The sequence below is a fragment of the Homo sapiens genome, chromosome 5, assembly GCF_000001405.40.
Source record: "Homo sapiens chromosome 5, GRCh38.p14 Primary Assembly".
NCBI lineage: Eukaryota > Metazoa > Chordata > Mammalia > Primates > Hominidae > Homo > Homo sapiens.
The window spans coordinates 169,724,275-169,747,546 of NC_000005.10; the positions used below are offsets into that span (position 1 = coordinate 169,724,275).

The window sequence follows — 23,272 nt, forward strand, 5'->3', positions numbered from 1 at the left end:
TTCTGCAAACAACAACAACAAGATGAGCTGGAGCAGGAGTGGTCAGGAAAGGCATCCTTGCTGTTATAGTGAAGCTATTCAGGCAAATGTGACTTTGTCTTCATCCCCAGGGAATGAATAAAGAAAAGTTGACACAGGGCAGGCCAGGTGAGCTCACACTCCTTGGGAACAAGTCACTGGTTGGGGAGAGAAAAATTGCACTCTGTGTCCTGATGGGAGCTTCAGCACCTGGAAGCTTCATCCTGCTCCCTACCCCCGAGAGCCGAGAAAGCCTGCCCTGGTGTGCACAGTTCCACTGGCCTGCACTGGAGCTGCCACCACATTAACAAGGGCATCTCAGGAGCATGGTTCGCAGCTCAGCGACGCCTCCAGTCTAGCTTACCTCACCCAGGGCCAGACGTGATTGCCCTTTCTCTAATTGCCTTCAGCATCAATGACCAGACCCCAGACACCGGCTTTCTGGTACTTTCTTTTGTCTTTTTTTTTTTTTTCTTATTTGCCTATTTATTTATTCCGTGCCACCCTACCAATCAACCTCCACCTTATCCCCTCCCACCAGCTCAGTTTCTTCCTATGTAAATATTGCATAGTAGTTTACCCTCTAGGTCATGAATATGTTAGGCAGCAAGATTGTCTGAATAAAGCTCAGGGCAAGTCAGTGTAGCTTGCAGTCGGAGGGAGCACATAAGCCTCTGCCTTTTGAAACAAATATGAATTTAACTCAGAGGTGCTTGCCAGTGTGATTTGTTTTTATTGTTCATGTATGAATAAATATTAAAATGTAATCATCTGTTTATGCCGAGCATGAGCTGAAATGCCTGTGACATTGAGATTCCTGTTTCTTCTGCGTGTAATTTGTTTGCATATTAATGCCATTTATTTCTGTGTAAGCCTCTGTTTTTGGTTTTGAATATAATTTCACTTTTTGAAGACAGTAATGGCTTAGTAAACTGAACAATTGCAGTTAATGGAACTATTTTATGATAGCATTAACTTGGCGTCAGATCAGGATGAAAGAGAAAACTGTCACCGAAAGGATATCATCAAACAGTGACTTCTCTTTATTATTTATTTTATGAATTGCTGCAGTACTCAGGGAAAGCTAAACAGCCTTTCTCATGAACATATGTGAAAGTGGTTTGTCAACTGTTAAGTAAGTTGCCTGATTATAACATGAAATTGTGCATATGCATGAGCTGTTTTTTCTTTTTATTTATTTATTTATTTATTATTTTTCTTTTTTAAAATTATATCTTAAGTTCTAGGGTACATGTGCACAAAGTGCACATTTGTTACATAGGTATACATGTGCCATGTTGGTTTGCTGCACCCATCAGCTCATCATTTACATTAGGTATTTCTCCTAATGCTATTCCTCCCCCAGCCCCCAACCCCCGACAGGCCCCGGTGTGTGATGTTCCCCACCATGTGTCCATGTGTTCTCATTGTTCACCTCTCACCTATGAGTGAGAACATGCGGTGTTTGGTTTTCTCTCCTTGCGATAGTTTGCTTAGAATGATGGTTTCCAGCTTCATTCATGTCCCTGCAAAGGACATGAACTCATCCTTTTTTATGGCTGCATAGTATTCCATGGTGTATATGTGCCACATTTTTAAATCCAGTCTATCATTGATGGACATTTGGGTTGGTTCCAAGTCTTTGCTATTGTGAATAGTGCTGCAATAAAAAATACATGTGCATGTGTCTTTATAGCAGCATGATTTATAATCCTTTGGGTACATACCCAGTAATGGGATCCCTGGGTCAAATGGTGTTTCTGGTTCTAGATCCTTGAGGAATCGCCACACTGTCTTCCACAATGATTGAACTAATTTACACTCCCACCAAGAGTGTAAAAGTGTTCCTATTTCTCCACATCCTCTCCAGCATCTGTTGTTTCCTGACTTTTTAATGATCGCCATTCTAACTGGTGTGAGATGGTATCTCATTGTGGTTTTGATTTGCATTTCCCTAATGACCAGTGATAATGAGCATTTTTTTCATGTTTGTTGGCTGCATAAATGTCTTCTTTTGAGAAGTGTCTGTTTATATACTTTGCCCACTTTTTGATGGGGTTGTTTGATTTTTTCTTGTAAATTTGTTTAAGTTCTTTGTAGATTCTGCATATTAGCCCTTTGTCAGATAGGAAGATTGTAAAAATTTTCTCCCGTTCTGTAGGTTGCCTGTTCACTCTGATGGTAGTTTCTTTTGCTGTGCAGAAGCTCTTTAGTTTAATTAGATCCCATTTGTCTATTTTGGCTTTTTTTGCCATTGCTTTTGGTGTTTTAGTCATGAAGTCTTATGCATGAACTTTTAAATAGTTCTCTGTTCCCTTTGCCTATGGAAATATTAGTAAATATTTATTGGGCACCTATTATGTGCTAGGCACTTTGTTAAGTCATGGGGACCCTGAAATTAGTAAGTCAGCCTTCCTCAAGTATTGGCAATGTAGTGGACAAGATAAACATGCATCCCAGCAATCAAATCACAGTTGCCTGGGATAAGCAATGATCAGTGATGCAATATCACAGTGGAGGCCTGGAAATTGTTCTTGTGGGAGCAGACAGATTTGAATGACAAACCTTACCTTGGGAGGATCAGTAATTCTTCTCAGAGGAGGTGATGTTTCAAACTAGACATTGAAATGTATTTAAGAAGCCAGGCTAGCCAGGTGCGGTGGCTACTGGAGAGGCTGAGGTGAAAGAATTGCTTGAACTGGGGGGTGGAGGTTGCAGTGAGCTGAGATCGTGCCACTGCACTCCAGTCTGAGTGATAGAGTGCGACCCTGTCTCAAAAAAAAAAAAAAGAAAAAAGAAAGAAAGAAAAGAAAAGGAGCCAGTCCATGGGACGAAAGAGACTCTCTAATTCTAAATACAATCTGTGAAATAGAACTTCCAATGACTCCTGCTTCTCTTCAGTATCATTTATGAAGCCTCTCCTCTGTGCTTGGCCCTGCATTGCTTTTTACTCCACCTCACTTAATACAACAACGCTGCAAAGCATAGGTATTATGATGTTCATTATATAAAAGAGAAAATGAGGCTCAGAAAGGTACAGAAAGTGACTCCAGGTCACACTCTAGATGTCGGCGGGGAGGGATCTGACACTCAAGCTGAGGTTCTTGCTGTTGTGCTGTACCCACACACGAATGTCATGTTTGTGGAGAAGAGTAGCTAGTGAATGAAGCCGTGGTGGTGGAGGGGGGCCTGATGCATCTGGAGAGGTGGCTTGAAGCTGAATTGTGAAACACCTTGAATGTCAGACCCAGCAGCTTGACGTCATCCTGTATCCAGGGGGATTTTGATGTAGATCCTACCTTTTACTCTTAGAGAGCACACAGTGAGTGCCCCAGTAGGTGTACACACTAAGCTATTGGGATCAGATAAAACTATTAAAATTATTTTATCTCACATGAAGACATTAAACTTATAAACACTTAATTTAGACTAGCAGATGGATATCATTTATAAATAAATAAGCATCTATTGAGTTTTGTGCTTAAAATGAAAAAAAAAATTTTTTTCTCCAAGGAGCAGTTTGGAAACTTCTGCTTTTGGCGGTGGGGAGCCACTGAAGTTCTAAAGCAGGGGATTAACATGATTAGATTCATCTTTTGGATAGAGTACTGGGGAAGAAAGGTTAGTTCGTGGAAGATGAGATAGAAAGCAAGAGATGGAGACGGGTGATCAATGGTGAAGCTATCACAATAATCCAGGCAAGAGCTCTTGAACTAAGGTAGTGACGGTGGTACTGGGGAAGAGGAGAGGAAGAAGATAAAGGTTTACAGATGAGGAGATGGCCAGAACTAATTGAATGTAGGAATGGAATTCAAGGAGAGGGCCAAGCCAGATGATCTGACTCTGGACTTTCTGGTCCATTTGACCTGGCATTGCAAACCAGCATGAGAAATACAGGGGAGTAGTGGGTTTTTATAGTGTATTGGGTTTGGGACATAAAATGTTTGAGGTGTTTATTGGCAGAACCGGATGAAAATGTATAGCAGGCAGTTAGATACAGATTAGGAGTTCAGGAGAATGGAGACACAGTTTTGGTTGAAATTGATCCAAAGAGATATTTGAAGCTATAGCACAAGGTGAGTAATACTATAAAACTCAGAATGAAACCCAGGGAGTCAGCCCATTGAAGGGATGGGTGAAAAAAGGGTCCCACTGAAAGCTGGATTAGGGACATAGGATAACAGGCAGAAAGGATTGTCATTCCAGGAACCAGGAAGGACAGTGTTTCAAGGAGGGAGTGTCGGCAGTGTCAGGTGCTACAGGGAGATCATGGGACTGGAAACTGATTAGAGGCATGATATTTTGCAATAGAAGGTCATTGTTAAGTTAGCCAACCCTTTCCCAGAGCTTAGCATCTTTCCTAATATCTGGTCCAAAGGCCATCAGAGCAAGGGGTCAAAGTTTGAAGTGCATTTGATTTCCTCTTATCTGTTTGTGAATTACCTACATTTGGATTGCCTTTTTCCAGGGTGTAATCCTAGACTGACTTCCCCCATCCATCCTTCAGAATCTGGGGAAAATTTCATACTTCACTCATAGCAAAGCGTAAGACACTGGTCTTGTCTGCTTCCACCTCCCTTTAAATGGTGTGGAATGAGGCTATCCTGTGCTGTAGACAATTAAGGGTAAGGCTGTGGAGGACACAGATATTCATTCTTTTAGGTTGAAATGGTAAACTATTTCCTCTGATTGTTAACTCATTATTGGAAATCTGGGAGCTAGATTGCTGGTTGAACCCTTGCCTGAGAGCAAAGATGGCTATTTCTGTCAAATGCTGAGGCTGACAGTTGCTCAGAGAATGACTTGGGTGGGAGAGCAATTTACTGAATAAACGTGTAGATTTAGAAACTGCATTTGCAAATCCCCTGTAACGAAATATGAACATACCGGATAAGAAGGGTCTAGTTTGCCAGAAGGGTGAAATTTGCCATGCTAACGCAATTGTCAGGGATGCTAAGTGCAATTGGTATGACTAGACGTACTTTGTGATCTTCGTCAAATGTACTTGAGGCAGGCATCACCCCGAAGGAGAATTTGTTTCCTTAGTAGAAAATAATATATTGCTCACTCATTGGGCTTGTTATTTATTGTGTCTTTGGGGTGGAAGGAAGATTGAAAAGGACTTCATCATGTGGCACATATGGTCACTGTCCTTCAAGTCTCTAAACTGGCCCCTCTACCTGGCAGATCTACTCTCCCACATACAGGAGAGACATATAGCCTGCTACAGAGACACATTGATTTCATTCATTCATTTGTGTATTCAATAGTCACTTTTGAGTCTTACTATTTGGCCAAGTTCTATGCTAGGAGACTCTAGTGAAAAAGACAGATGGAGTGTCTTCTTCATGCTGCCCTTATATTATACTGGGGGAGATGGAAAAACATAGAGAAATGAATAAACCAAGTTGTTTCAAATGGTAATAAATGTCAGTGAAGGAATAAGCAAGTGTGTGGCTGAGACAGGGGTAGTGAGGGTGGGGGGTAGCAGAGTGCAGGGTATAGCACAGTGGTGAGGCTCTGGAGCCACACTGCCTGGGTTTGAATCCCAGTAACTGTGACCTTGGGCAAAGTCACTTCACCTCTGGGTCTTAGTTTCCTGGTCTAAAGTGGGGATTACCTCAGAATGTTATTGTGAGGGTTCTGAAAATGTGATATTTATTTATTTATATTTATATTTTGGAGGTGGAGTCTCACTCTGTTGCCCAGGCTGGAGTGCAATGGCACAATCTCGACTCACTGCAGCCTCTGCCTCCTGGGTTCAAGTGATTCTCCTGCCTCAGCCTCCCGAGTAGCTGGGACTACAGGCATGCACCACCACACCCAGCTAATTTTTGTATTTTTAGTAGAGATGGGGTTTTGCCATGTTGACCAGGCTGGTCTTGAACTCCTGACCTCAGCTTATCTGCCTGCCTCAGCCTCCCAAAGTGCTGGGATTACAGGCATGAGCCACTGCTCCTGGCCCTGTAAACTGAGATGTGATAGATGCAAATGAATCAGCCATGCGATGGCTGGATGGGAGAAGGAGGTGCAGGGAGGAAAGCTATGAGCAAGTGCTCTCACAGGGTGAAGCTTTTCAGAAAGTTAGAGAAGACTGGTGCTGGGGGATGTAAGGTGAGCATAGGGGAGAACAGGAGAAAGATGAATTTGGACAGCGAGTCAGAGGCTACCATGCAGGGATTATTCTAGGCACATTGCAAACTGCTCAGAGGGGATTTAACTAAAAACGCTTGTATGGCAGGTAGCACGTATAATACTTGGGTGACAAGAAGGGTTTGTGTCATGGACCACACGTGTGTCGTAACCTCTACAAGTCTCTTTAGTTACCTCACTTAAGATATATAGGACATAAACTGTCCATTCTTTAATCATGCTAGATGGAGGATGGACATCCTGTGTTTCCTCAAATCAGTGAACAATCCCTAGAGTTCTAGCAATCGCTCAACTCCCTTAAGCATTTTTGTTCTACAGTCACCACACTTACTATTTTTAAGAGCCATTTATGTTTCAGCCACCATGAATTTTTGGTTACAGTTTTGAACAAGTTTATTTTTTAATTTTAGGTATATGATTATAGCTACCACTCTCTCTCTCTCTCTTTTTTTTAGAGACAAGGTCTTGCTCTGTTGCACAGGCTGAAGTACAGTGGCATGATCACAGCTCACTGTAGCCTTGAACTCCTGGGCTCAAGTGATCCTCCTGTTTTGGCCTCCCAAGTAGCTAGGACTAATGCCCAGCTAATTTTTAAATTTTTTTGTGGAGATGCAGTCTCACTGTGTTGCTGAGGCTGGTCTTGAACTTCTGGCCTCAAGTGATCCTCCCACCTCAGTCTCCCAAAATGCTGAGAGTACAGGTGTGAGCCACCACACCCAGCCTTGCCACTTCTCAATGCTGTGTTAATGTATCGGTCTAAAGACCCTGATATGGTTTGGCTGTGTCCACACCCAAATCTCATCTTGAATTGTAACTCCCACAATTCCCATGTGTCCTGGGAGGAGCCCTATGGGAGGTGATTGAATTACAGGGGTGGGTCTTTTCTGTGCTGTTCTCATGATAGTGAATGAGTCTCATGAGATCTGATGGTTTTAAAAACTGTAGTTTTCCTGCACAAGCTCCCTCTTTGCCTGCTGCCATCCGTGTAAAACGTGAGTTGCTTCTCCTTGCCTTTCCCCGTGATTGTGAGGCTTCCCCAGACACATGGAATGTAAGTCCATTAAACCTCTTTCTTTTGTAAATGGCCTAGTCTCGGCTATGTCTTTATCAGCAACACGAAAACGGACTAATACAGACCCTTATTCCTCAAAGTAACAGATGCTATAAAAGCCATTTGATGTGATTATTAGCAGTCATTGTGCCCAGGTACATTCTTGTACACAAGTGTATTTTCCTCAGAATAAGGTTCTTCCAAAGTATAATTTGCTGGGCTAAAGGGTATTAATTATTTTTTTCCTGAGTTCCTATCAGATGGACATTCTTTGGGGAAGGGCAAACTTGCATGTCTTGAGTGCCATAGGAGTGATAAAATGAAGAGCTTGCCTATATTTGGGGCCTGGTGTGGTGGCTCATGCCTGTAATCTTGCACTTTGGGAGGCTGAGGTGGGAGGATCACCTGAGCTCAGGAGTTTGAGACTAGCCTGGGCAACATGGTGAAACCCCATCTCTACTAAAACTACAAAAATTAGTCTGGCATGGTGGCACAGCCTGAAGTCCCAGCTACTCGGGAAGCTGAGGCAGGAGAATCACTTCAACCCGGGAGGCAGAAGTTGCAGTGAGCCGAGATTGCACCACTGCACTCCAGCCTGGGTGACAGAGTGAGACCCCATCTTAAAACAAAACAAAAAACAATAACCATATTTTGTGAATAAGCCACAGGTGATAATACTATCATGCTAATAATTAAGAATACCCTAAATAGCATGAGCCACAGCATTTTATTCTGCTGACCTCTGTCTCTTCCTGGAATCACTTTTCTTCCCTTGGCTCACTAACACAGAACTCTTTTTGTATTCCTCATACCGTTATTTTCTCTCTGGAGGTCCTAAATGCTTTTTGGTGTCCTCCTTTCACTCGCTTCCCACTCCCTAGCTGAATGCATCCACGCCCGTTGCTTCAGTTATCATTTCTATGCAGGTAACACAGAAATCCAGCCTCACCTCTTCACCAAGTTCCAGATCCATATATCCAATCACTTGATATCTTCTTTTCTAGTATATCAAAGGCAACTCAAAGTTAGCACATCGGGAATCAAATTCATGATGTGCTCTATCTCACTGACCCACAAACCAGTATGCAGCGTGAGACAGAAAAGAGGGACTCATTCTTGACACCTCATTCTGTTACTCCACATATGGTCCACAGTCAAGTCTCAAACCTTTCTCCCTGAAACGTATCTCAATTTATCTATATCTTTCCATCTTTACTGCTAACCTCCTACTCCATGTTCTCACCCTCTCACATGTGGAATACTGTATTTGCTTTCTCCAGTGGTCTTGCTATATCCATTCTTGCCTTCCTACAGTCTATTCTCTATAAAGGTTTTTGGATTTCCTAAATAGACAATTATAGCATCTATAAATATAGAACATTTTGTACCTCCCTTTCTAATCTTAATTCTTTTTCTCCCTGTCTTACTGTACGGGCTAGGAGTCTAGGTCAGTGTTGAATAGAAATGGTAATACATATTGTGCTTTGGATATTTATTGTAGATGCTTTTCATCAGTTTAAGGAAGTCAATAATTATGTCTGTTATGAAGAGATAAGAGGTTTAATTGTGATGACTGATGTTTTGAATTCATTTCTACCATTTTAGCTGTGCATCCTCCACACCACCCCCTGATTTTTCTGTCCTTTTTCTCCCTTTCTTTTTTTGGGATTGTTTTCAATTTCCTCATTCCCTTTTTTCCCCTTTATTAGTTTGAAAGTTACATTCTGTGTTTAATTATATTAGTGGCTACCTGCATATTTTATCATACATATTTAACTTAGTAAAGTCTAAAGTTACATTTTTAACATTTCCCTGAGTAATAAGATTTCAGAAGGCTCTGTCACCTCCTTCTTAAATATCATGCTAGAATTATGCAGCATTTTAGTTTTACTTTCTAAAAATAACTCCACATACTAGATATTATTATTGTTTTAAACAGTTAGTATTTATGTTTTTACCAATAAAAGTTCAACACTATTCTACTGTATACTTAAAAATGATTAAGATGGTAAATTTTATGTTATATGTTTTTAACCACAATTAAAAAAAAGCTCATCACTCTTTCTCTTATCTTAGACATTTCATATTTGCTTACTTTCTTTCTGAAGTTAATCTTGTAGACTTAACTTTAAGAAATTCTGTTGGTAAAATCCCTGAAATTAAATTATCTGATTTTATTCTGAAACTCGAAAGGAAGTTTTTCTAGATATAGACTTATAGCTCATTTTTTGTTTACTGTCATCTACTGTTAATGTTAACTGTTAGTCTTACTATTGTTTCTTTATAGGCATTCTGGTTTTATCTCTCTGGTGGCTTGTAAGATCATCTCTTTCTCTTTGATGTTCTGCAGTTTCACCATGATGTACTTAGGAATGATTTTGTTGATGTTGCTAAAAGTTAGTTTTCCTGGATTTGAAGTTTTGAATATTTAATACCAATTCCAAAAAAACTATTATTCTTGCTTTTTTAAATATTCACATTTCTCCATATATTTTATTATCTCTCTGAAATATCAATCAGCATATGTTAGACCTCATTATATTCTCTAGTTCTCATAAATTCTCTTTCATATTTTCTATCTTTTTTGTTTTCTCGGTTCATTCTGCCTAATTTCTTTAAACCCATTTTCCAGCTTACCAAGTTCTCTCTTTAGCTTTGTCTAATATGTTCTTTAACTGACTGAGGTTTTTCTTTCAATTACAATATTATTTTCAAAAACTCCATTTTGTTCTTTTTCAAATCTAATTTTTTGTTTTTATAATATTTTGTTTCTTGATCATATTTTCAAGCATCTTTTTAATGTTTTGAAGCATAGTGAGTGTGCTGGGTTTGTACACTTTGTTGCATAATTCCAGTAGTGGGAATCTTTGTGGGTTCTCATTCTGTCTCTCTGTTTTGGGTGACCCTGCTTCTTTATGCATTTTGTTGTTTTTATTATTTCCTAAAGCTAATTGTCCTTGGAACTTCATCAGTTGGTATATATTTTAATTAAAGTTTTTTATTTTCCTCCAAAGAAAATCAGAGTTTCCTTCTTTCATTCACCTGGGGCAATACCAACCAGATACCTCATTAGTTAAAATTTCTGTTTATGGATACAAGCAAGGAACATGAATTGGAAAACAAAAACAAAACACAGGTCAGGACTGACTTGTGGTTAAGAATTCTCACTGGAGATATGTTTGCGTTTTTCTTCTACATACAGCATCGAAGACCAGGGCATTTCCTTCCTGTTTCCTTTTGTGCAATAGGTTTATTTCTTTTCCTCTATTTTGAAGAAGATGCAACAAACTGGGAAACCAGCTTTATATGAGGGTCTCCAATATGCAGGCCCTAGGATTGATCTCATTTCTTCTATTCCCCAGGCAGCCATCAAAATAGAACTTTAAGGACACGAGGGCTTGCAGACGCCTTTGGGGCAAAGCTGGCTGCATTGCTCTGACGTACCCAGAGACCTGCTTTGCTTTGTGTTTGTCCTCGGTGTATTCCTTACTTTCTTGACAGTTTAGTGACTTATATTTAAAATCCAGCTTTGATAGTTGTTTTCACTGACAGGTTTTCCAGGATATTTTGTTCACCATACTGTCAGAAATGGAAGTCTTTAAACTTCACCCTACAGTCAGAGTGATCTTTCCACAGTTCAAATCAGATCACAGTACTCACCTTCTTAAAATCCTCTTATTTCTTTTTATTCTTCTTAGGATGAAGACAAAACCTAATGTGGCCTGCAAGGGTCTCCTGGTCTGGCCCTGTAGCCCCTCTGGTCCCCTTTGACCTGACTTCCCTAGGTGAAAGGAGAAGTCTTTCTCCACTCTGGAATTGGTGGCTTTCATTCAGCTCCTCTGATTCTCTCAGCTCCCTTCTGCTGTGGGGCCTGTGCACTTGCTGTTCCTTCAACCTGAACTGCTCTTCCCTCTCCTTCTTACCTAATTTTCTCTTATTTATCTTTCCTGTGTCCTCTCAAGCATCACTTTCTCAGGGAATCTATCCCTGTATTTTCTGGCTAGGTCAAAGCTCCCTATTTTACCTTTTCATTGCCCACGTATTTTGTGTTTGAAGTACATATCACAGTTTCTGTTTTACATGTATAGACGTCAGTTTTTATTTATTTGTATAAATTCCTTAATTGCACAGTGACTGGTGCATAGTAGATGCTCAGCACCGTCATTGGCACAATAACAAAAACACATTTTTGTTAGTTGAATAACTTATCTTATGGAGACCCTAAGCACACCTACTTTAGCCAAGTAAAAGCTGCCGGTATTAGTCTGTTCTCAATTGCTATAAAGAACTACCTGAGCCTGGGTAATTTATGAAGAAAAGAGTAAGTTTAATGGACTCAACACTTCCACAGGCTGTACAGGAAGCATGGCTGGGAGGCTTCAGGAAACTTACAAACATGGCAGAAGGTGAAGGGGAAGCAAGCATGCCTTAGCATGGCAGAGCAGGGGGGAGAGGGAGAGAGAGAGAGAGAGAGAGGGAGAGAGAGAGTGAGAGAGAACCAAGTGGGAAGTACTACACACTTTTAAACAACCAGATCTTATGAGAACTCACTCACTGTCATGAGAACAGCAAGAAGGGAATCTGCCCCCATGATCCAATCATCTCTCGCCAGGTCCCTCCCCCAACATTGTAAATTACAATTTGACAGGAGATTTGGGCGGGGATGTGGAACCAAACCATATCACAGCCCTTCTCCTAGAATTGAGAGTCCATGATTTTTGAGTTTTTATTTCTTTCACCCCTCGTGGCTTGCTTCCTGGGGTAAAGTGATGGGTCTTTTCACTGGTTTCAGGCCAGGTATGCACAGCTGGGTCAGCAGGGTCTGGTAGCTGAAATGCAGCCCTGGATTTTAAAGCTCACCTGTTTGGGTCAGGGGCCTTCTTCTTTTATCAACTTTTCCTCCTCTGATATGTTTTAATGTAATATTCTAGTGCCTCTCCATTGCAGTAAGTGTTAGAATGTGACCTCTCCTAAACCCTAGAAGTCCACACAGGGTGTGTTAAATGCCCTGCACTGGTTTGCACCCCAGCCTTTGTCTGCTGTGTGCATTGCATGCCCAGATTTTCTACCTGGGCTTTTGTCATGGTGTTCCCACTTTGGAAGGCATCTGTGGGTTTCTCAGCCTGGAATATAAAGATGGTGAACAATTTTTCAGTATATGGGTATTTCTTAACTTTTAACAAATTGCTCTTAAAGCCTGTAGCTTCCAAAACACCTTTAACTCAGGATTTATTCATCCTTACATTCAGCAACAATGCATCACATACCTGTCCCATGCATACTGGGCCATAAAACTTAGTTTCTTTTTTTAAGCACATGAGTAGATAATGAAAGTTTCTATCTCAAAATAAGTTCAAATACGTGTCTAGTGGTAGAACTTTGGTTTGCATTAGTAATCACATGTTTATCCAACACATATCGAGTAGGCCACTATGCTAGGTACTAGAAATATAACAATGAACTGGACAGACTAGTGGAATTAGACAAAGGTATGAAAGTTTTTAGTGTAGTTGAGAAGAGACATGAAGCAGATAATCATGTGGGTGCATGTAAAATCAAGGGGAAATGCATGTGAGGTGCCCTGGGATCATGCTATGAAGAGATCAGCTTTCATCACAGGGTCAGGAATACTTCTCTGAGGAAGTACCATCTAAGCTGTGACCTGAATGATGAGTAGGAGTTGGCAGGTGAAGAGGAGGAGGGTGTAGTAGGTGAAAATAAAGCCAGAGGGAGCTCCCTGAGATAGGAGGGAGTTTGACCCAAAGGAACTGTGGAAAGTCTAGGGTGGCTGGAATTCAGTGACCAAGGGATAGAATGACTGGACATTGCCTAAAAGGGTAGGAAGGGGTGGCTCTTGAAGAACCTTGAGTGTCAGGCCATGACCTCTAGAAATTATCTTAGGGAAATGGGGAGCTGTGATATTATGAAGTGTATACTTGGTCTTTGATCCTTTTTCCTGGCATACATGTCCTAGAATCCTTAGAATCTCCAAAAAGTGATGTCTTTTTGCATGCTAATGAGTTGACTGAAGCCTGGAAACCCTTAGGTAGTTTCAGGATGAGGGGTGGCCATCTGAAAGAGCAAGGCAGAATTAGAGGGTTGAGACTTTCAGCCTCCCCCATAGGGAGGGGAGAGGGTTGAAGTTAACTTGATCACCAATGGCCAATGCTACATAACAAAGCCTATATAAAATCACAAAAGGACTGGGTTCTGAGAGAACCCAGCAATTCCAGACAGCTGAACACGTGGCACTTCCTGGAAGGTGGCATTCCTGGACCGGGCATGGAAGCTCCGCATACCTTCCTCCCCATTCCTGTATCTTTTGTAATAAATACCCTTTATATCAAATAGGTAAATGTGTTTCCCTGAGTTCTGTGAGCAGCTCTAGCAAGTTAATCAAACCCGAGGAGGGAGTTTTGGGAACTCAAATTAATAGCCAGTTGGTCAGAGGCACAGGTAAAACAACCTGGGCTTATGATTGGCATTGGAAATGGGGGGCAGTCCTGGGGACTGAGCCCTCACCCAATAGGATCTGACTCTCTCCAGGTAGATAATGTTGGGTTTGGACTGAATTAGAGGACACCAGCTGTGTCCACTGCAGAATTCATTGCTTGCTTGGTGGTGGGGATAGACTCTCGCACATTTGTTACAGATGTCTTCTGTGTTCATGGTTGCGGCATGGGAGCAGAGGGAAAGTAGCGTGTGTTTTTTCCACTTAGGAATTTTTAAAGGATTTTCAACAGGAAAATGCTATGATCGCATCTGTGTTTTTAGAAAGGTCCCTCTGACCATTATGTAGAAACTGGATTGAAAGAAAATAAGAGAGAGGGAAGGGACACTGGTTCAGAGACCCCCACAGGTGAAAGGAAATGGAGGCTTGGTCCTCCATGGTACTGATGAAGATGGAGAGGGGTAAATGGCTTTTGGGGTGGAATTAATGGGTCTTGATGACTCAATAACTTTCAAGCAATTCAAGATAGTCCCTTCTTAGCCCAAGGCTTTGACTTGGGCACCAGTGGGGCCTTTAGGCTGTGCTTGGAAACTAGAGGGTGTTTTTTTATTGTCCAAAAACAGGCTTGGTTTTGGACAATACATGTTCTGAAATAGATAGTAATGTTCATTTTCAACTCAGGTGCTTAAAAAAGAAGCTAAGTCTTATGGGCCAGTATGTATGGAACATGTATGTAACGTGTTATTGCTGAACGTAAGGAAGAACTCTTTGACAATAGAAGCCAGATAAGAATCCTGGAGAATTACCTCAATGGTAAATAGTTTACCTAAAGATGAGGACACAAGGGCCCAGACAGGAGTGATCTAAAGTCTGAATGTCTGTAAATGCTAGTCTGGTTTAGAATTCACTCAGTCCTGTGACCGATACCATTGCTCCTTCTGTTACCCTGTCCTCTGCGGGCAGCCTGGTGGGCCCTTGGTCATCCTACTGCTCAAAGAGGTCTCCAGGCACTCAAACCTCAGTGTGTTTGATCTCCACATTCCTTGGGTGTTCCCAAATTTCAAAACAAAGAGTTTTATTGCACATGCATTTTTAAAACTGGCACCATTAGCAAGGAAAATGTTAAAAGAAGAAATCACTTAACTACACACACCAAATGTCAGGGCTCTCAGTGGAAGAGCCTGGGGTTAATTATCCTTTTCAGGAAGCCATGGAATCAAAGGATGAAGTTCAATGCTCTTGGCATGACCATAGTTTAGAGTAATAATAACTTGGCATTTCTTGGGCCGTTGTGTCTCTAGCTGCAGTTTATGCCAGAAACTGGGAGGCAGGTGAAAAATCAGCATCTTGATTCTGTAATTGTAGAGGGAAAATGGCCTCTAGTTGTATGTGACCTTCAGTTAGATTCTCCAGCCCCAGCCTTATTCCCACATGAGAATGAGAAATTTCAGGAAAGGCTTTGGAGAAATGGACTGTTGTAGGAAGGAGCTATAAGGCAAGAAATACACCAAAGAAAGAGTAGATCTCTCTTTTTAAAGTTAAATGAAAATTTCACTTGTGTTTAAAAATCAGAATATAAAATAAGTGTATATAATGGGCATGTTATACCTAATCCCCTTTTCCAAGAGGTAGCTAAATTATCAATTTAATGTACAGATTTGCAGATTTTATTAGCTTTGCACGTGTGTCTGCGTAATCATCTGGCAAGCCATTTTTTTCTGTTATATATTTTCAATTATATAGAAACCTCCTAGATTGTAAACAAACAAATAAAAACACTGAGGGAACAAATGATAAAAGAAGTGGTCAAAATCCAACTTCTTCTTGGCACCCAGACTTTTATACCAACTGGGCCATAGAGAAAGAGCTGGAAGGAGTGTGCTGAATATTAGCTGCTTTTTCAAGTAGATGATGTAATCTATATATTTCTCTGTATGTCTTGGAAGCAGGGAAGAAAGAAAGAGAGATAGAGAGTGTGCATGCGTGTGCTTCTTTCTATCCTTAGGAATATTGTTTTGGAAACATTCAATTTCTAATTATATTGGGGGGAAAAACCCTAAATACCATTTTTCATGCTAATGGAGAAATTTACTTAAGTGCAGAATTATGCAACTTAGTTTTCTCGCCAAATTACATAAAGTGTGCAGCTCCTCTGAATAGAATGAAGGATGGCATGGGCACACATCACACACTGTTCATAACTTAAAGTTCTTTTCAGGCTTTTTCCTGCATCTTATTACCTACTTACTATTAATTTATTACACAGGGTTGCCATATTTTAAAAGTAAAGTGAATGTTTCAGATGGATTGTTTTTCTTTCATTTCTCCCATATTGTTAACTTCTTTTTTTTTTATTTAGAACTGTTTATACTTCCATCAGAGGCAGTTTTTCTTCAGTGATTGCATTAATTTTTATGTGTTCATTCTAGACATTTTTCAAACAGAATCTCCACATGTTGAGTTTGTCTTCTTTTCTCTCATCCACAAATCATTCTTTCCTGGTGTTATTTACAGGAAGATGTTAGTGAATCTCCTTTGCTATTTGCCCTAAGGAGTGATCCCACCCCAAATGTCAGGCTCTGGAAAAGTAACAGCTCAATAGAAATAATCTCGTCATTGACAAAAGTACTTGGCACCAGGAGCTGATCTGCACCCCGCCTGTTGGCTGCTGGGGGTATTCAATGAAGTAAAGCCTGCACAGGCACCTCTGTGGCCTCTAGGGCTGCTTGACAGTTGACACTAGCAACACTGTAGTCATCCTAACCGTTCCTTACATATTCTGTTTCTCATGAGGCTTTGCTCTTTCTCTTCTGACAGAATAAATATTTCCACTTCAACTTTGTTACCCTTTAGAGGAGAATTTCTCTGACCACTGTGTATGTGTTTTGTTTTTGTTTTTGTTTTTGGAGACAGGGTCTCATTGTGTCACCTAGGCTGGAGTGCAGTGGCTTGATTATGGCTCACTGCAACCTTGACTTCCTGGGCTCGGGCGATCCTCCAGCCTCAGCCTCCCAAATAGCTTTAACCACAGGCATGCACCACCACACCTAGCTAATTTTTGTATTTTTTTGTGGAGACATTTTCCCAGGTTGGTCTTGAACTCCTAGGCTCAAGTGATCCTCCCATTTCGGCCTCCCAAAGTGTTGGGATTATAGGTGTGAGCCACTGCACCCAGCCATCTGACCATTGCTGAGTAAGACAGCTAACTCTCAGATTCTGTGTCTTTGCAATTTCTTATTTATTTCAGGTCCATACACCTTGATGGTGGGGAAGAGGTGGGGATGGTGGCAGTGACCTTACAGGGAAGGGATGAATTAGGAAGGGAACCGTCTCTTTCACGAATCCTTTGCATGCCTATTTCATTGACTTAAATGTGCCTGCCTAGTGCATTGAAGGGTCTCATTCTATGAACAGGATTGGGAAGTGCAAGGATGATCTTCAGACAGACTCAGCCACTGGTTTAGCTGTAATTATTCTTGGTCCCAGGTTGTGGGGTGGGAGGGAGAGAGGGAGAGAATACACATCACTCCTTGACTCTTGTCTTAAAGTATTATGATTTTCCCAGAGTAATCACTCTTTTGAAACCAGGAAAGATTCAATGGTTCTTTTTGTAAAGTCACTAATTTACACTTATCTGAATAGGGCAAATTATTGGCTCAGGGGAAGGAACACCAGCCAAGTCACCTTGGTTTTAGAGCTTGAATAGAAAAAGCGTAGAGCCAGCCTTCTAGCTTCCCTCCAACAGTCCCATAGCGTCATCCCCTGGATAACGGATGCCTCCCTACCCACTGACTTGCTCTTGTTCCTGGGGTCATAAATTATTTAGCTGCCACTTATCTCCCAGGATCTTTTACTATTTTTTTTTTTTTTTTTTTTTTTTGAGACGGAGTCTCGCTCTGTCTCCCAGGCTGGAGTGCAGTGGTGCGATCTCAGCTTACCGCAAGCTCTGCCTCCCGGGTTCACGCCATCCTCCTGCCTCAGCCTCCCAAGTAGCTGAGACTACAGGCGCCCACCACCCTGCCCAGCTAATTTTTTAAATATTTTTTTTATAGTAGAGATGGAGTTTCACCGTGTTAGCCAGGATGGTCTCAATCTCCTGACCTCGTGATCTGCCCATCTCGGCCTCCCAAAGTGCTGGGATTACAGGTGTGAGCCACTGCGCCCAGCCCTTTTACTCATTTTTATCTGCAGTGTGGTGCCTGGCATGTAGTAAGTGCTCAGTAAATGGTAGTTGTCTTTATGAAAATGCTGATTTCTTTCTTCTTACAGTTCAGGAAGCAAAAATGGGTGTATCCGGAAGAAAAACTGTATATGATGTAATAGTAGCTGACATCTGTTGTTGACTATGTACTAGACTCTGCTAATGGCTTTATGTGCATTGTTTGATTTTCGAGCAACCTTATGGGGCTAATACAATTTTACTAATGAGAAATCTGAGTCTCAGAGAGATTAGGTACCTTAGCCAAGGTCACCCAACTAATAAGCGACAGAGCAAGGCTAGGAACCCAGGCAGTGCTGCCTAAACTTCTCTATTGCTTCGAAGAGTCAGAGAAGGAATCGGAGGGATGGATGCCTATAAATGTGGAAGTGACTGAGGTACAGAAAATAAAAGAGGGTCAGGGTGTTAGGAGGCTCTCCCTCCACCCCTGATTCTCAAGGGAATCTTCCCACTTGCTTTCTGCATCCTGAGGTTGCTTTGGTTAGATTCTGCTCCCCTGGGATGCTAGCCTGAGGTTGGCATCTCAGTTTTGGGCTGAGGCTTTATGTACCTGCGTGAAAGAGGTGGTACAGAGCATTGTACACAACATATGGGGCTCCATTTGCATTTAGTGAGTGCTCAGCTGTGCACAGTGTCTCCTTAATGAATCACATGCAAGCCGAGCATCGCTATATTTATCCAAGCCCTGGGAGCCGGAGTGCTGGCTGTGGTCGACTTGCATGCCCCAGAACAGTGCCTTGCAGGTTGTTCCAGTTTTCCTTGTGGTCAGGGCCTTAGGGCCCTTCAATAATTTGTTCCCTGGCAAAATCTGCTGGTTTCTGAAGTATCTTTCCAGGCGTTCTAGGCCAGAAAAAATGTTTACATCCTGAAGCTGTAACAGAGATCAAGCGCTAAAAAAGAACCTGGAAGCTACATCTGCTGTGCCCTTGACTTCAAGGCCACATCTGAAGAATCGCAGACAGATGAGGCATTTTTATTTTCTTTTCAAGCTTTTCAAGGGGGGGTCCCACAATGCTTAATGCTTAATCACCCTGCTGTCATCAGGTTATTTCTTCCTTGTAATCTAAAACCCTTATGAATTTTTTTCCTTAGTCACTCCTTAATTGAAATATTTCTTTTTATAGCTGGGCATTGGTGGCTTGTGCCTGTCATCCCAGCTACTCAGGAGGCTGAGGCTGGAGGATCACTTGAGTCTGGGAGTTTGAGGCCAGCTTGGGCAACATATTGAGACCCTGTATCTTACAAAATATTCCTCTTATGCTCAGATCAGAGAGTTTGCCCAAATAATCACTTCTGTGCTTAGGAATCAAGAACAAGAATTTATAATGTTTACTTAACGCTGATTAAATGCCAGCTACAATATTAAGCACTTAAAAATAATTATCTCATGTTTTTCACCTCAAAATAACCATTTGAATGAGCATTAGGACTCCTTTTTATCAGGAATAAAAGTAAAATTTCAGAAAAGTAATTAACTGAGGCCACACAGCAAGTATATGGAGGAGTCTGGCTTGATAGCAAAGCGCTTTATATGAAATAGATTTTTCTTTCCTTTCTTCTTCCCAGCTGTAGTCATGTCCTGTGACTCTTCTTCCCATTCCCAGCCATTCTTCAGCTAAAAAGAAAGTAAATATTTTAAAATATGTATATATATTTTAGATATATATATTTATATTTTAAGACATATAGATAATATATAATTTATGATTTATATTTAAATTTGTATAAACTTATATTTAAATTATAAATTTAAGATTTATATTATTATATATATATATGTACTTTTCCCCCATTTTCCTCCTAGAATTGTTTTTTTATCCTTTATAAGACTTAGGCAGGTGCAGGATATATTTTCATCCCTGGACTCAAGTGTGGTGTCAAGACCCTTAACTTGTGACATGAATAGCAAGGAGCAGATTGGATTCCCACTGGAGTGGAGGCCCCTAATCATGGCTTCCTGGGATTTGTGTTATCTGCCTTCCCCTGTTAGATGCTGAGAACATAGAAGAAGAATACCAGGTTCTGGTTCAAGCTATATCATTGGCACAGTCTGTGACCTAGAGCAGATCACTGCTCTCTTTCTCGTGAAAATCAAATTTAGTTTCCTACAAAATTTAAAGTTGAGCAGAGCCTTGGTTTAGTCTTACAGACTAAAAATCTTTTTTCCTTCCAGTTCAGTCACATAATATTTATAAGATGGTGAAGCCAAGTCACTTGCCCTCTCTGGCCCTGAGTCTCTTCATCTGTACAATAAGAGCAAGAACTAAATGCTCACCGGACTTCCCAGCAGCTCTTGGTTTCAAACTCAGGGGAGCTGCAGGAAGAAGCTGGCTCTACTCTGCCAAGTTCTGACTAGTGAGGGTTTGCAACAAAACCAGCCAGGGCTAGTCTAGGCAAAAAGGAGAGTTTATTTTAAAGATATTTGTGCAGCTCATAAAATCAAAAAAAAAAAAGTTAAATAATGAGACACAGAGAAGTTGGGAACCAGGACAGCCTCAGGGATCTCTTCAGCAGGAGCTCATGACCCTTCCCCCTGGAGTGCTGCCATTAAGATCACTCCAAAAAAGCCTGTTTTTATGTTTCTTTCTTAAAAATGACAAATTCCAGAAGGAGAACTGCCAGGGGGCCATTCAGTTATGGAGGGTAGGATTGGACAGGCCAACCAGCAGGAAAGTGTTGCTGGAGCCCAGCCTTGTTGGAGGAGCAGGTGGTTCCCAGGAGGACCTGGGCAGAACTCCCCACCACACACACAGGTACACCCTACAGAAAGAGCCCATGTGTCTGTAAATGATTGGGAAGCCAGGTCGGGATGTTAAATGTGGGTGGGAGACACAGTGGGCAGGTTCAATACTCTAGACCAGTAGCAGCCATGGTGATGGAATTCATTCAGCGTTTTCAGGCAGCTGTGCCTCATGGAAGAGTAACAGACTTCAAGGCAAAAGGCATGATGAGTGGACAGTCCATTAGGGATTGCTGGTGGCTGTGGGCACAAAGAAAGACAAACAGTGTGATCTCATGGGGAGGCTGACCACCACCATGCTGGATTAGGATCCTCTCTTTTCAGCCAGGTCAAGGACAGGGTACTCTGGTCCCATCTTTTCTACTTTGATGACATTTGGGCAAGTTTCAACCTCTTGAGAGTTTTTCTGTTTCCTTATCTGTGAAGTGGGGATGAGAGCAATGATAATCATGCTACTCTTCCAACTGACAACAGTACGGCAGGCGCTAACATCTGCTGGGGCCAGGCACCCATGCTGAGAACTTCCCATGTGGGTTGATCCTCGCAATCCTCTGACACAGTACTGTTATGGTTTACACTTTGCCCAAGGCTTGTGGGAATTAAGGGGGCAGTAAAGTGTAGAGCAAAGCAGTGTGCAAAGAGACTGAGAGGCTGGGCTCAGGAGCTGATGGCCAGTTTTGAATTCTGGCTCTGACACTCACTGGCCTGGTGTTTTCTGGCATGTTGCGTGAGCTTCATTAATTTGTAAAGTGGGTGTGATACTAGTGCCTGCCTCATGCTGTGGTTGTGAGGAGTGAGTGATTTCACAGGCATCCAGGAAGGTGCCTGGAGCAGAGCAGTGCTCTGTAATGTTTGCTGTTGTTTGTAATAAAGTGCCTGCCGGGCAGTGGGGATTTGAACCCAAAGCAGATTGACTCTAGAATATATATGCTGTGGCAGTTATCTCTGGTGGCAGAACAAGAAGGCTCAGGAGTGAGCTGTGTAAAAGCCGGGGTGGGGGTGAGTTAGCAGAGGGAGCTATGGAACTAGGGAGAGGAAGAGAATGAGGAGCCCTAGGCACGTAGCCACTTCAACACTCCTTGTCTCTGTGACCTTGAGCTGGACCCAGAAGGTCAGCAGCAATTGCTGAGTCCCCATAACCAACGGGAACATTCAGCACTGACTTCACTTATGCTTCTGACTTCAGGAGGGCTTTAGAGAGGGGGTTAGTTAGAAAAAGAAGGAAAGAAAGAGAGACAGAGAGTGACTAAGACAGAAAGAGAGTGATGAAGTCAGGGGGAGGGTGGGGAGAGAACTAGATATAAAGACATAGAAACCCAAGGAGAGAAAGAGAGTGATTGACACTCAAGAAGATAAACAGAAGAGGCACACACTTAAAGCCACAGAAATGAAGTAGAAAGACGGGAAAGAAGGGTGAGGGGAAGGATGGGGATTTTGCAGAGACAGTGCTGAGGGGGCTGTGACTGGCTGGCCTGCTCTGTGGTTGAGGAGCAAACAAACCTGTTAAGTGTGTCAGTGCTTTATCTAGGAAAGCACCTTTGCCAAGGCCCGGGCACACTGAGGAGCTTTTTGAGCGTGTAGGGCTGTGACAGGAGAGACTCTCTTTATCTGAATTGGAGACAGGAGCACTCTTCTGTGCATTTCACACTGGATGCCACAGATTAGGCTGCGGATATTTCACGGTTGGTGATAAACATTTGTTTGGAGAAGCCTTGAGCAGAGCAACACTCCTAAGGCTGGGGGAAGGGGTTGATAACAGGCAGGTACCTGGAGACTGGTTTTACATGAGGGACTGGTTCTATGCAATTTTACACTTGTATATTATTATAGGCATTGAAAGTCCCTAGAAGGATACCCATTAAAACTTTGACAATAGCTAACCTCCCTGGTTGGATTAATGAGGAGTCTCACCTTCTAAGTTATGTATTTCAGTTAGGTTTACATGTTTTACAGTGTAGGGATTTTATAATCAGAGAAACAAAGGCTTAAGGTAATAAGTTAACTCCTGAAATGAAGGAAGGGAAAGCAATGGCCCCTGACATAAAACAGGTTGTTGGGGCTCATCCGACAAACAGACAATGGGTGGCGGAAATGGCAGTGCATTTGAAAATATTTCTCCTTGATATTTCCAAGTTACTTTGAAAATCTGATGATCACAATCTTTCCTCTGATTCTTGCAGAAGGGTGAAATTATTAATGTCTCCTCAGCTCAGACAAATTTCCTTCCTTTGGGGTTTCCTTGGGGTTTAAAAAAATACGGCAGAAGGTGTATGCCCTGTTAGTTGGTGGGTTTCTGTTGGGTATGGTGGATATGAGGCTTTTCCCTTGAGAGAATGATGCACGCAGCATCTGCAGAATCCTCTCCTCCTTGAAGTCCCCACCTCCCACTCCTTTTTGTTTTAAATTTTAAATGAAGTTTGTGCCTAGTACACACTTTTAAAAGTATTGTCTGTTAGCTTGAGAAATGACCCAGATGTATCTTGTTTCAGGCTTTATGAAGGCAAAGAACAGATGGAGTTTGAAGAATCCATGAGACGGCTCTTTGAATCCATCAACAATCTGATGAAAAGTCAATACAAAACTACCATCCTTTTGCAGGTTGGTTTATGCTACAATAAAATCTATCTTCTCCTTGGCCAT

General features: G+C 41.8%; 1 protein-coding gene across 8 annotated transcripts in view; it reads left to right on the forward strand.

The window, feature by feature from the left end:
* The window catches only part of DOCK2 (dedicator of cytokinesis 2), a 446,108-nt gene that overhangs the window by 87,000 nt on the left and 335,836 nt on the right, over positions 1–23,272 (forward strand). For all 8 annotated transcript variants that reach the window (NR_156756.1, NM_004946.3, XM_011534449.3 and 5 more), the window contains exon 23: positions 23,122–23,230. Coding sequence is in view for 7 of the 8 variants with exons in the window: in NM_004946.3 (NP_004937.1) it covers positions 23,122–23,230 (109 nt within the window). In the remaining variant the exon portion in view is untranslated. The remainder of the gene's footprint in view (positions 1–23,121; positions 23,231–23,272) is intronic.